The sequence below is a fragment of the Homo sapiens genome, chromosome 3, assembly GCF_000001405.40.
Source record: "Homo sapiens chromosome 3, GRCh38.p14 Primary Assembly".
Taxonomy (NCBI): Eukaryota; Metazoa; Chordata; class Mammalia; order Primates; family Hominidae; genus Homo; species Homo sapiens.
The window spans coordinates 34527141-34540244 of NC_000003.12; positions in this window are offsets into that span (position 1 = coordinate 34527141).

The window sequence follows — 13104 nt, forward strand, 5'->3', positions numbered from 1 at the left end:
GAAGCCTTATCCGAAGCTGGATAATGAGATCTTGAACTTATACCTGCCCCCTTTGTTTCATTAGGAAAGCAACACCTCAGCCCTGCTTGTAATTAGGTGTAATTATTTTCTTACAAAAATAATCAGAGTGACTTAACCAGTGATCTGTTTTTGGTTTGGATAATTCATACTGCTGTTCCTCTTATGCAGTGAGGTCTGGCAAGGGGTGGGACGAGAAAGTTGATGTGTTTAGTTTCTTAAAGCTCCTAAGTTTCTTATGAATTCCATTCTTTGCTGCCGATTTAATCCCATAACTACACCTGCACTGCAATTACAATGTAAGAACTGGGTGGTTGTAAGGTAGTTTTTCTTCAGAAGAAAAGAAATTCTATCTAGTAATTTTGGCTCAAACTGATTATTCTAGAAACATGGAGGTAAAGGAAGCCCTTTTTTTTTTTTTTTTTTTTTTTTTTTACATAAAGTTGTCAGACAATACCAAGTAGTTATTTAAAAGCAAAACTATTTAGTCCACAGTTTGAATGCTTCCATGGTGAAAATTTGATTTAACATAATAAATGACCCAGTAATTACTCAGAACAAATTGTGTGCCTTGAAACAAAATTTCCGTTTAAGAACAGATTATACGTTGATTCTTGACAAACAAGAATGGTAGCCCTCTATCTCTACAGACCAGAGATGTTTTCATACTGCTAGCATGCCTTAGTTCTTTATTTTTAAAATTAAGACATACAACAGGAAAAAGGAATGGGCAGTGAACTAACATAGTAATTTAACAGTGACTTGTTGCTCTATTGCCATCACCATAGGAGAAAGCACAAGAAAGACAATGCCCATGCCCATTCCAAACATCACAGGGCTGCTGGGTGATAAATTAGCATAAGCATGACTATGTATAAATGCTCTTCTCACTCCTTTATGGCAAAAATAATTCAAATATAAAATATAAAATATAAAATATATTTTATATTTATATAAATATAAAATATATTTTATATTTATATAAATATAAAATAATGGTTTTATATAAAATAATGGTTTCAAATAGAGTTTTAAATCTGCATGCCAATGTCAAAAATAACACAAGAGATAATGCATAACGTAAATACATTATAATAACCTATATTCCAAAATTAAATAATAAAACTTGGGAAGCTAAGAGAAGAGGTTAGGAAAGGAGGTTTGTGTTAAATTCTTCCTTTTGCGTGGGTGAACTTAACAGATATTAGTTTATTATTTAAAGATATTAGAAAATTGTAGGTTCAATTACATTTGATAAACCTTAATGGTAGTAAGGGGCTGAAACCAGCTTGCACTGACTTCTGAGGGCCAACTGTGCACAGCTTTTTTTAGCTGTGTGTTCTGTGATATTACGGTGGTAGCTTGAAATCACTGGCCATGGTGCGAATATCTATACCATCAATTTGGCAAATGCTACAAATCAGGCACTTTTTAAAATTTCAGACAGCCTGTTAAACACACCTAAATCTCCCTAAAGATTACTATTAATAGAAGTGTACCCTCACAGTCACTTCCCCAATGTGACCAAAGACACAATTAAAGAAAAAAGAACATATGGAAACAGAATAAAACAGGATGATATTAGTAAATAGTAGTAAAACAAAGCCTCTCAATATAATGTGAGTGGAAAAGAAGAGGGAGAGGCAAATGTTCTAGGCACAGGAGATAGCCTCCAAAAGATCTGGAGATAGAGACTGAGGTGTGTTTGAGACACGGAAAGCAGCCTGATGTTGAAAGAGACAGCAGTTCAGAGAGACTGATTGGGTAAACAGCCAGATCAGGATGGTCTTTTATGTCACACTATGGAATTCAGCTTTCTTCTTAAGGGGACATGGGAAATCTCTGAATGCTTTAGGCAGGGTAGAGAAATAATCAGATTTGGGTTAAATGAAGATTTAACTAGAGAACAGAAAGCAGTTGAAGCAGAGAGATTGTGAAAGAGTGGTGGTAAGAGCCCTCCCCTCCCCCCAGCCACTGGTACGAAGCTGGTGCATACTCCTAGAAGAGTCATAGCCATAAAGTGTACTCTACTATTCAGTCAACCACTGAAGTTTATGGTTTGGCAATTGAATGATTGCGGTGCTCCTATAAAAGGAAGAAGTGAATTGCAGTGGGCTTTGGATATGTTGAATATGACCTATCTGTGATAACCCAGTGCATATGTCCAGAAAAGAGTAAGATATACGGGTCTCAAAGTCAAGTGGGAAAATTTGGATGGGATATAGATATTTGAGAGTCATTAGCACACAGATAGTATGTACACTGCAACAGGAGATAAAGATTTGGAAGTCCTCAGTATAGAGAGACTATATAATAGTTATGGAATTGGATGAGATTTCCTAGAGACCTTTGAGTAAGAGCAAAAACAGATGTAGAACAGAATCCCAAAGAACACCAAAGTTTAAAAGTTGGTTAGAGGAAGGGACTTTTGCAAAAGTTCTCCGTATATTTAACACCTAGCATAGCGTTCTGCCCAAAGGCACTCAATTAACTATCTAGTAAATGAGCAGGTAAGAAAGTGAGGTTTTCATGTCTGCTAACACAATATCCATTTTGAAGCCTATGAATCAAGGAGTAATGTTGACTTTGAAATCTTATTTTGGAAATACATTTCGTAAGGCTGTAGCTGCCATAGATAGTGATTCCTCTTGCAGATCTGGGCAAAATAAACGGAAAACTTTCTGAAAATGATTTATCATTCTGCATGTCACTAAGATAATTTGCGGTTCATGGGAAAAGGCAAAATATCATCATTGACAAGAATTTGGAAGAAGTTGATTTCAACCCTCATGGATAACATTGAAGGATTCAAAACTTCAGTGGAGGAAGTAACTGCAGATGTGGTAGAGTAGTAAGAGAACTAGAATTGGAAGAGAAGCCTGAAGTTGTGACTGAATTGATGCAATCTCATGAAAAAACTAATGGGTGAGGAGTTGCTTCTTACGGATGACCAAAGTCCATGGTTTCTTGAGATGGGATTTACTTCTGGGGAAGATGCTGGCAACATTGTTGAAATGATAGCAAAGGATTTAGAATGTTTTATAAACTTAGTTGACAAAGCAGTAGCAGGGTTTGAGAGAATTGACTGCAATTTTGAAAGAAGTTCTGTGGATAAAATGCTATCAAACAGCATTGCACACTACAGAAAAATGTTTGGTGAAATGAAAATTCAACTGATGCAGCAAGCTTCACTGTTTTCTTGTTTTAAGAAATTGTCATAGATAACCTTCAGTAACTACCTCCCTGATCAGTCAGCAGCCATCAATAACAAGAAAAGACCCTCCCTCAGCAAAAAGATTACTACTCACCAAAAGCTCAGATGATTGCTAGAGTGTTTTTTAGTAATAAGGTGTTTTAAGTTGAGGTATGTATATAGTTTTAGACATAATGCCATTATACACTTCATAGACTACAATATAGTATAAGCATAACTATTATATGCACTGGGAAGCCAAAAAAATCATGTGACTCCTTTATTGCGATATTTGCTTTATTGCAGTGGTCTGGAACCAAGCCCACAATATCTCTGAGATATGCCTGTATTACTTAACAATTAAAAAAAATTCTTCAAACCACGCTCACTTTGAAGATAATAAAAATGCATATTTTAGTATACTTAAACATAATGGCTAACAATAACAATACTAGTAATAATACTATGTATTAAAAGCCATATAAGACAGCCATTGCTTACATTAATAAGAATAAAGGAAAACAAATATACAAACATCTATATCAAGAAGTTAGTGAAAAGAAGAGCAAGTAACTGAGAAAAAGCATGAGTAAGGGAATAATCAAATTAACACAGAAATGGGTTTCTTAGAGAATAGAACACAGCTGACTTAGTAACTAAACCTAAGAGCTTATTTGGAAAACCAAGTGAAACAATGTAGGTAACCCCATGCTTACTCAGTCAACTAAATTAAAAAGGGGTGGGTAAAGAAAGAAGTGAATATACACAGAATTAGAAATAAGAAATAACCCTTAATACAGAGGCAAGCGTGGGAATTTTAAAAGAACATTTTACAAAACTCTCTTCAGATAAATTTGAAATGGGTAATTTTCTAGGAAAATACAAACTACTAAAATTAAACCTGGGAGATATAGAAGACTTCTGCATGTGCAAACATGCAAGATATCGAGAAACTTTTAAAGACTTCTTCCTCAAAGCAGTGCCAGGCACAGATGGTTTCTCGGGTGAATTCTTTCAACCTTCAAGGAACAGAAACTTCAATACTAGTTAAATTGGTCCCAAGCAGAGAGATAAAAGGAAATCTTCCAAATTATTTTTCAAAAGCCAACATAACATTGATTCCAAAACCTTAGAATAAGAGCGCAGAAAACAAAACTTGAGACAAATCTCAGTTACGAATATCAGAGTTGAAGTTCCAGAGAACACGAAGGAGTCCCGAGTCACTTTAGTTCAACTTCTTAAAACTGCCAAAGGAGTTGGGCACATCAGTAATCATTCACATGAACGAATTTGTATATAATTTTCTTATATTAATGGATAGATACAAATATTATTTTATGGCTAAATATGATTTAATTTTTCTTTTTAAAGATTTTCTATTGCAATGACAATAATTAAATATTAAAGTTCATTTTGCATTCCTTTGTTGCTGGGCCCCATTTTAAGGTCTTTTGCAAGGATTATCTCATTTAATCACCTCCAAAACTCTGAGAGTTGTTATCATTATTCCTTTTTAAATATGAGAAACCTGAGCCTCAGCAAAGGCATTTTATGGCTAGGGGGTGGTACAGTTTTATTTTGGACCAAAGCAGTCTGACTCTGGAGACACTTCTCATTTTTCTAATGAATTTTAGTTTGTAAAACCACTATCATGTGGCATCCTGAGGAACGTTATGTGCTGTGAAGACCCCCAAGTGCTGGAGAAAACACATTTTCATAAGATCTAGGGATGACATTTGTGCTCCCCTGTAGGAAGCATGTCTGCTGTAACTGAGTAGTGAAAAATACAGATTGGTAAAGGGCAAAGCTGTCAACCAAAGCCAAGAGAGTAGAAACCAGAAGAGGGTGAGCTGAGATCAGTAAACAGCAAGGGAATGAGACAGTGACATTTGCACCATTAGTAGAAGGACAATTGTGTGTAGATCTTAGGTCAGAGGATTTGGGCCATGGCACAACTGATGTAATAGACAGACTTTTGGATGCCTGTGCGTATAGGCATGTCTGAAAATAATGCCTGTGACTTTCAAAAGATTCTCAAATAGACTTAAACATCCACAAAAGGTTAGACATCCCTGCTACAGATGGGAGTAAGGTATCAGAGGGTTACATTGGGTTTGGGAAGCAGAGGAAGTGGCCTGGACAGCTGCCCATGTCCAGGCTGTGCCCACCTAAGGGAAGGGTATGTGAAGCTCTAAAATCTTCTACTTACCCATACGCCTCAGGGGCCCCACCTCAGGTCTCTGTTGTCCCGCTCTCTGCTATCTATTCCATGGATATGGCAATGAGGCAAGGGAGTACGTTTTTCTTGTAGTTTAGCTTTTATGCCTGTGCTAGTGTGTTTGTGTACATGTGTGTATCAGGGGGATTTGCCAAGAACCTGGATTATGCAAGTGTTCTGGTGGCTTCTGCCTGGTCCGGACACGAAAGCAGATTAAGAACAAGTAATACAAGCAGGAGACATGCAGGGGCTTTCCTCAGGTGGGAAGAATCAGCTTTCCAAGACTGAGTAGAGACAGATGCAGAGATAGAACTGGGATAAAGGATGAGTGTGCACTTCTTTCACCCATTTAAAATCACAGAGCTTCTCCTATTGACCTGTGTCTTGCCAGGACGAATTATTCACTTATAAGGTGCTTCCATGTTCTGACTCAGTGCTTTTATATAGAACCATACTTATTTGGGGTTAAAAGAAAATGAAGGGTATGGCTGGATGCTCACAAGAGTTATCATGTAGGGTGGGTCATTGGGTAGAAGATTATCTCTTATTGAGGAAAATTTTCTTTTCAAAAATTCTCAGTGTGAAACTTGATATGCATAGCCAGAGAAGGAGTGCTGTGTTGCTAATGCAACAAAAATTAACCATTAGAGGTGGGGTGTGGTGTGCAGTGTATTTATTTTAACCAATACCATATCCTACTTGGAAATAATGGAGCTGAGAGCAGGAGAGAAGGTGATGCAAAAAGTAACAGGAGGAAAAGAATCCAAGCAAAAGTGAAATTGCCTACACTAAGAGAATAAATAAAAAACCATAGGAATTACTTATTTGTGTAGTCTCAAAGGCCTCATAGAAAGTAACTCTTTGATTTACCTCCCTTTTTTCATGGAGTGCTGCCAGGCAAAATTAAAAATGGGCCCATGAAACTAGCGAGACTGAGACAGACATAAAGAATGCTTCAGAGGCTCCAGTTTTTAAGTGCTTTTCACTTAATTGTCTGTGGTTGCCAGCTATGGAGAGATGGAGAAAAAACATGCAGGGCTGGCTTGAAATACTTGCAGAATATATTGAGACTGAGCACTGTGCAGGGTGCATGCTAATGGCTAGCCTCTGCATTGTAGCTCTACTCTGACACTGTTATTCTCCTTCCAACTGTGCTTATGCCAAGACTCAGATATTGTAGATTGTTAGAGCAGGGAACATTTTGCAGAGGTCTATTAGTGTAATTTCCTCCAGCAATATCGATGATTCCAAACTTTTTGATGTTGCCTTGGTTGGACATACTTCTGAAAATGAGAATGGGGAATAAAATTTCTCCTCTCTGCTTCAGTGCTGCTCTTTCATATGGTGTAGTTCTCTGCCTCTTTGGTGATATAACACACTGATTAATATGCAATAAATGTTCATTGCATATCTACTATGACAATTATCTTACCACAATAATGATATAAAATGATCACAAATCATAGTGCTGTGCAAGAATAAGTGATTATTGTTGTGTCTGGGATCAGCTGGAACACAATTAAGTGACTCTGTTGATCTTGGCTGGGCTCACTCATGAGTCTTTAGTTGGTTTGGCTGGCTGTTGACTGATCTAGAATGGCTTTGGTTGGGACATCTGGGATAAATTGGCTCTCCTCTGTGTGTCTTTTATTCTCCACTGGGATAGCCTCACAGTGTTTTTTTCATTGTGATGGCAGAGGCTCAATAAAGCGGATAGAGACACATAAAGCCTCTAGATGCAGGCCCAGAATTGGGACACTGGAACTTCTGCCACATTCTCTTGGCCAAAGCAAGATACAGATTAGTTCAAATTCAAAGGATAGGAAAGTAGACCCTCTCAGTTTAGTGAGAGAAACTGCAGTGTCATATGGAACAAAACAAAGACACAGGAGATGACTAAAAACCAAGTCATCATGGTAATGTACTACACATACTATATGCCATGCCTGTAAGGTGTTTGTAGAAACCCAAACATTCTTTCACCTCAAGCCTATTTTCCTTTCTAGCAAGTGATACACGTTGTCACCAGCCCATCCTTGTTGCTAGGAAGAAAGAAAAATCCTATTTCACTCTATGTCATTCTCATGTTTTCTGGCTCTTTGTGGAAAGCAGTAGTGATGTAAATGAATATAGCAGGAGCTCTTTTATTAAACCTTGCAACCTGGGCTTTAGGCCGAATGACACTGAACTCCACAGAGTGGGGATGCTGTTGATGCCCAGGTCAGATCCTCTTTTCTGAGCTAGTGAACCTATTCCCCAGCTTCCCTGAGTGTTGGCTGCTAATGGCTCATACTTGCCCCCTTTTTCAGAAAATTGCCTTCATTCATACAAAGGCTGCCTTGTTCCAGGGTTTATGCACATACTCCCTTACCCTAGCAGCCTTTAGCCAATGTTGAAATGAAATGGCTATATAAGAGGCTACCCTTTTGCCTCGAGGGGGAGCCAACTCAGTGGGGCAGTTCGCACCAGAGCACCCCATTGGATCAGCATGAAGCTAATCTTTAACTGAAACTACATCCTTGCTCAACTCCTTCTCCTGCCCAATCCTAGTTACTGCACTCCCCTTCTCCTGAGAACACTCCATCAATAAATCAGGTGCAACTGAACACCTGTTTCAGGCTCTGTTTCTAGAAACCCAAACTAAGATAACCATCTAGCATAACATATGTCAAAGGGAAGAAGGCATTCTCCTCTTGTTTTTCAAAGACCTGCTTGTAGCTCTGGCTCTAGGGTAGCACTGGTGTAATAGAGGTGGTTTCTAGTTAAGGGGAAGCAGTGCCCAGCAGGCTATGGAGGTGATGTCTGGCCTAAAATGTTTAGAATTGTCAGTATCCCCTGTGAGTCACCCTGAAGACTTTCAGACAATTGGCTGTGACTTGGAGAAAAAAGAGAATGAAATCCTGTGTAAGTAAGAGAGAAAAGAAATCAGTAACATTGGGGTTGTTAATATTTATGTGAATCACCTATACTAACAACCCAATTCAGTAAGATCCAGTAGAGCTTGAATTACACTGGTATCTTTAGTAAGCCCAGTAATTTTGTTTCACAATTGCCGGACTAAAGCATGTGTCTCCGTATGATGCCTAATGGTGAAGACACATTGGAGTACACAATACGTCAAAAGAGCTGCTGCCTATCTCCAAGTCTCCACAGGGGCCTCAGAAAAGCCCCTGTGCAATTAACAGTATTAGGTCTGCTATTAAGGAGTACTTAAGCTTTGATATTTCCCATCAACCTTCTACCTAGCATTCTGCCTCAGTTTTTATCCTCTAATTCGTTCTCCAAACTTTGGTAGATTGATCTTGTAAAAGTTAATTCTTATCTTGCTATTGCTCTGATTAAATACTTTCTACAAGTTAAAATTCAAACTACTTACCATGGCATAAAAGACATTTACAGACATGGTCTCCATTGTATTTCTAGTCTGCTCCTTCTTCAATTTTGCAGGGTCTAGACTGAGCGACTGGCTGTTTGCTGAGTAGTCCAGGAGTCTTGCCCTACTGGCCCTGCACACACGGTTTTCATTGACTTGGTGTGTCCTTCATATTCTGTGGCTAGTAAACTTCTAATCATCTTTCATGATTTACCTTTACCTTCTGCTTTTTGTGCAGTATCTGCTGGTCATATTAATGTCATTTTTACCTCAGGATAAATTATACACTCATTATATTCATTCTGGGCACCCAGGGCACACTGAACCTCCATCTATTATAGAAATTCATTGATGGATGAATGAATTAGAATGCATAATTCTTCTAAAATACAATCCTAAGCTCTGAAAGCACCATAAACAAACACAAAATACACAAAACGGTTCAAGAGTAGTAAGCCACATAGACTTTCCATTAACTTCAGGCCACAATGACATTTTTATTAATAAAAGATAGATGTTATTACTATTTCAGAGGATTCTTGCCCACCTAGTATGCCTCCTTGATGTTACTTGCAATTTAATGTCTGAATTGCAGAACTTAGAAAAGGTTCATTCCTTCTATATTTACTTTTTGAGATTTTTTATCATAAAAGGATGTTAAATTTAATCAAATGCTTTTTCTACATCTATTGAAATATTCATGTGATTTTTATCATTCATTTTGTTAATGTGATGTATTACATTAATTGATTTGCATGTGTTAAACCAATAGTGCATGCTAGGAATAAATTTATATGGAATTTCAAAAGACTCTGAATAGCCAAAGCAATTTTAGCAAAAAAGACAAAGTTGAAGGCATCACATGCTCTGATTTCAAATTCTACTACAGAGTTATAGTGATCAAAACAGTATGGACTTGAATAAAAACAGATACTTAGACCAATGAAACAGAAGAGAGGGCCTAGAAATAAACCTAAACATATATGGTTAATTAATTTTCAATCAGGGCACCAAAAAGATACAATGGAGAACAAAAGATCTAAACAGGCATTTCTCCAAAGCGGGGGAAAAAAAGGCCAACAGGTAGACCAAAAGGTGCTTAACATCACTAATTATCAAGGAAATCCAAATCAAAACCACAGATCTATGATCTTGCACCTGTTAGGGGTGCTTACTAGGGCAAGGGAGTGGGAAAATTAAGAGATGCTGATTAAAGGTAAAAAGTTGTTATATAGTATGAATAAGCCTAGAGATATAATGTACAGCATGAGGACTATAGTTAATAATACCATATTGTCTACTCAAAATTTGCTGTGAGAGTAGATTTTAGGTACTCTTACCAAAGGAAAAAAGAAAAACAGAAAAAGAGAGCGACGTGAGATTATAGATATGTCAGTCTGCTTTACTGTAGTAATCCCTTCGCTATGTATATGTGTATCAAAACATCATTTTGCATGCCTTACGTTTACACAATTAAATAATGGATTGGAAACAAAAAACATATGCACAATGGTTTGAAGGCAATTGATTGTAACTAACAAAGCAGGTGAGGTCCCCACTCACTCCAGCTTTTTCACTGTGGGCAGTTTTCAATTTTTTATGTGTGGATAAAGAGCACAGAAAGAGGCAGTGGTGCAGGGCCAGTGAAGCCTATGTTGAATCTCAGAGCTTTCAAGATTGTGGGGACTTGAAAGGTGAAATCCCAAGAAAAACATTTTTATCTTTTCTTCTCAAAATAATTCCCTTGACTCTATTTACCTTAAACATCATCCATGAAAGTGCACATCTTGGATGTTCTTTCAAAAAAGAAATTACTGAGGGTGCATGTAGTTCACAAATTTCAGCTGCAGCACCTTCAGGGTCTTCCTCAGTTGTCTGAACCAAGGCTCTGCTCTTTGCAGCCAGACCCCAGACAGAGACTTAGCATGGTGGGGGTAGTTAGGGGCCTGGCCATTTTTGTATAGTATGAAACTCCTGTGTAGGCAGTCATTTCACCACATCTCTCTGATGGGCTAGCTGGGACTTTCTAAGCTGTACTGCAGTCTGAGGCTCTTACTATGTAATCCTCCTTTCTTCCCCCTCTCTTTTCATAGGTCTCAGGCCTGCATCATGGCATGAAGATTCTCTCTGTCTAGTTCTGCTTCCTTTCCCATTTATATATCACAGAAGATACTCAAAATAAATCCATTTCACTTCTAACTCTATCTTCGTATCTATTTCTGGAGACCCAATTGACGTGACCCACCAATTATTGCCTCTATTCTTTGTTCCCTTTTATAGGAAAATGTCTTGAAATAGTTATTAAAGCCACCATCTGTAAGTCCCCTCCTCCCACTGGCTTTTAATTCACTTCAGTCACACTTTAACAACCCCACTACCACTTGCCACATATACACAAATTCATATACTACTTGGAAACTGCTCTCTTTAACGTCATTACTGAGGACTTCTCCATTGCTAAATCTAAGGATCAGTTCTCAGCCATCAGCTGATTTGCCAAAGTTAATCACTCCCTCCACCTTGATTTGATGTGCATTTTTCACTTGACTTCCAGAACTCCATTCTCTCTCTCTCTCTCCTTTGTTTCTTCCCTCTCTTCCCCTGTCTCTCTCTCTTTCTGTCTCTCTTATTCTCACTTCCACTCTCACCCTTTTTATTCTCATAGCTCAGTGGCAACTCCTTCTAGGTCTTCATTATGATTCTTTTTCTTAAGGTTAGAGTGCCCAAAGCTCAATCCTTGGACCTCTTTTCTTGCTTTATTGACATTTTCTAGGCGATTTGAGCCCAGTGAAATACTGATAACTCCCAACCAACCAACCAACCAACCAACCAACCAACCAACCAACTCAGCTCTTTATTTGCTCAAACTTGACACTCATATGCCCACCTGCTCTCTACTTGGAGGTTTGAAAGACCCCTCAAACTCAATGTCCCATTTTCCTCCTACTCCTCAGCTTTCCCCCTCTTAGATTATGACAATTACATCTTTCAACCTGCTCAGGCCCCATACCCTTCAAGCCACTTTTTCTCACAATCTGCATCCAATCCAGTTAGCACTACCTTCAAAATATCCAGACTATATCTAGAATTGGTCCTTCTTTACTTCCTCTACCAATACTCTTCTTGTATGAGACAAATACTATAGGCTTCTGGTATAAGAATAATGCACCAAATGATTCAAGTACAGGGAGAAGTGGCATGCAAGCAAGGAAATTTGGCGCTTTTTTTCTCTTACATATTTAGTGTCTGGTATATAGTAGATGCTTAGTAAATATTTAGTTTAATGAATGAAAAGTTGTTAATCTAAGGGCTCTAATCAAGATGGCTAAATAGCAGATGAATATGGCCAAAAGTGTCTGACCAAAGACTTTTCCACTAATGCATAGGTCATGGGCTTGTTCATTATATTTAGCCTCATCACCTCCTGCTAAACGTCCTCAGCAGGCAACATCTGTTGTCTTTCTAGCTTTTTCTAAAATGATTTCTAAATATATTATCAGTCTGGCATTAAACATACCCAAAGCTTCTAAATAAAGTAATATGTATTTTTGCTGTGTCTATGGGTTATTCAAGAAATAATAACCTTTCCTCATTACTGCTAGATACATAAGATTTGCCAGGAGTAAAGATAATCATAAATGACAATGCAGTAGGTGCTTTTGTTTCATGTTGAAAACTGCACAACTTTCAAAATTCAAGGGCCTTTAGCATAATTTTGAAATGATGATAATGATAATAATATCACATTTATTAAGGAACAAAGTGAGGATTAGATAAATCTACATGTGGAAGCCTTGGTCTGTTTCTTGGAACACAGCAGGACTTTCATACATGTTAATGTCATTTCCTTCCCATAAGAATAAAGAAAAATCTGTACTACTCCCTACCCCAACCCCCTTATCTCATGTTCTTCTTTTCAGGAAGGCTTTCTTGGGATGATAATTTATTTCATCGCACATGGCCTTCCCTTTGGCAGAATGAGTGCTTTTTTATTTGTCACTAGTAATTAAATTTCTTCCACATTTTATCCTTGGAGTGTGCTACGAGCCACCTATGTTTTTCTCTGTTGTTTTCTTACTTTGAACTTGGTATTATAGTGGAACCCCATTCATTTGTTTGTTTATTCATTAATTTAGTCAGCAACATACATATTTATTGTGAACCTATTCTGTGTCCAGCTCTGCACTAAAGTTTGGAGATGAAAATGCAAAGATACAGTTCATGTCTTCCAGGATTTTCTAGTCTAGAGGAGGAAAAAAGGCAGACATTGTAGATATATGAGACATTAAAAACATCATAGAA